This window comes from Homo sapiens, chromosome 9 (assembly GCF_000001405.40).
Source record: "Homo sapiens chromosome 9, GRCh38.p14 Primary Assembly".
Lineage (NCBI taxonomy): Eukaryota > Metazoa > Chordata > Mammalia > Primates > Hominidae > Homo > Homo sapiens.
Genome location: NC_000009.12, coordinates 107,962,996 through 107,965,000, shown reverse-complemented (window position 1 = coordinate 107,965,000; position 2,005 = coordinate 107,962,996). Strand labels below are relative to the sequence as shown.

Sequence of the window (2,005 nt, the reverse complement as noted above, 5' to 3'; positions counted from 1 at the left end):
CAGTGGATGGTGAGAAAAGCATGAGCTCTGGAGCCAGTCAAATCTGGAGACAAGGTCTAGCTTGGCTTTTCTATAGCTATGAGACGTTGAGTAAGTCCTTCAACTTCCGTGAAATTCAGCTTTCCCTTGGGAAAGGGGTTAATGATACCTACCGTATCACCAACTTACAGGATGAGAATATAAATGTAATATGCATGTTAAAGACATTTGAATATTGAAATTCTTAATAAACATATTTAAACATTTTTAAAATTAAAACTCATCAGACATTTGGCACAATAGTCTGTGGGATTTTGTGTTCTGGGAGTGAAGCTCAAGACCCTTACCTTAGATCAAGAGTTGGAAGGAGGGCACAGCTGGGGATGGCTTTCCAGATTCAGGAACTAAGTCCTGGAGACTACACTGGACTGAGCTTGCTAGAGAAACCAGCCAATTACCATGAGCAGAGTTGTCTTGAGATAAAGATTTTAAAAAGCAGCTCAAATCCCACTATTTGGGGAAGGTATTAGGACTATATTCTACCTGGGGATCTTGGAAGGCTTGAGCAGGAAACCAACATCGTCATATCAGCAGTGTGAAGATAGTTCTGGTTCAGCATAGAGAACCAATGAGAGCAATGGTCTTGCAACCCATGGACAAGATAATCTACTGTGGTATGGAAAGAAAAATCTCAAAACATCTACTTACATTTTCTCAATACCATTCTTTTAAAAATTATTTTCGTGTATATATCCTAAAGGCAAATAATATATTTTTGTAGTATATTTATCTACCTAATAAGTGAAATATATTACATATATATGTAAATATTGGGAGTGTGTATTCAAATTTGTTATTGGTTGGGACACATAATTCAAAGTTCAGAGACCACTCACCAGATTAGAAGGGAAGAAATTAAATACAGAATCCCATTCAAAAGTTCTTGCTCCTTCCATCATCTTTCCCCACTGCCACAATGGTGCATATGAATGTCCTGGCCGAGCTCTCAAGATCACCAACAATGCTGAAAAGAGAGGCAAATGCCAGGTTCTTACTAGGCGGTGTTCCTAATTGGGAAATTTGAAATCACTGATGATCACAGAGCTGGGTGAATTGTAAACCTCTCAGGGAGGTAATACAAGTGTGGAGTGATCAGCCCCAGATTTGATGTGCAACTCACAGATCTAGAAAAATGCCAGAATAATCTGCTCCCATCCCACCTGTTTGGTTTCATAGTACTAACAATCTCAGCTGGGATCATGGACCACGAAGAAGCAAGACAAAAACACACAGGAGGGAAAATCCTGGGATTCTTTTTCCTGGGATGTAATATATATTTACAAATAAAATGCCTCAATGGAAAAAAAAAAAAAAGTTCTCCAAGGCATCTGAGAGAGCTAATGCAGGCCTCGATGGAACAGTGGTTTGTGTGGGAATAAGGAAGGAACAATATAAAGAACCTGAGAAAAGGAGAAGAAAGGGCTGAAATTGGTCATTTTTGGACATGAAGAGCAAGTGACTACAGAAGAAAGAAGTACAAACCTGACCGTGAAGTTTCAATCCTTGGCCAAGAGAAGACTGTGAAATTCAGCTTTCAAGTTTCCCTGACACCAAGGAAAATGAGGAAGGTCAGAGAGGATACTGGTTCAAAGAAAAGATTATGAAATCCCCTTTGGCCAAGTAGGATTTTGGGTAAAGACAAGAGAGACTAAGGAGTTGGAGATATAAGGCTGGGGCTTGGAAGAGATGTCTGGCTAAAGGTGGAGGAGCTAGATGCCTCCTACGGAGAGGAATCCCGGATAGAAAGAGGCGGCACAGCAGGAACCAGCTAAATGGGAAGAGGTGTTCTTATCCCTAACCAATATTCAATCTTAAGAGATCCCCCTGTCAGAGTGGTTCCTGAGGTCAGCTGCCATTTTGTGTGGTCTTTGGCGTCTGGCTAATAGTTTATTTCTACAAGTTAATGAACTCAGAGAATATCAGAATTTGAACGGCTCTTTAGAGACTATCTAGTTTATGGTTGACT

The 2,005-nt window shown here is 40.2% G+C and overlaps 1 pseudogene; it reads left to right on the top strand.

Moving 5' to 3' along the window:
- RPS15AP27 (ribosomal protein S15a pseudogene 27) lies at nucleotides 926-1,340 on the top strand (annotated as a pseudogene).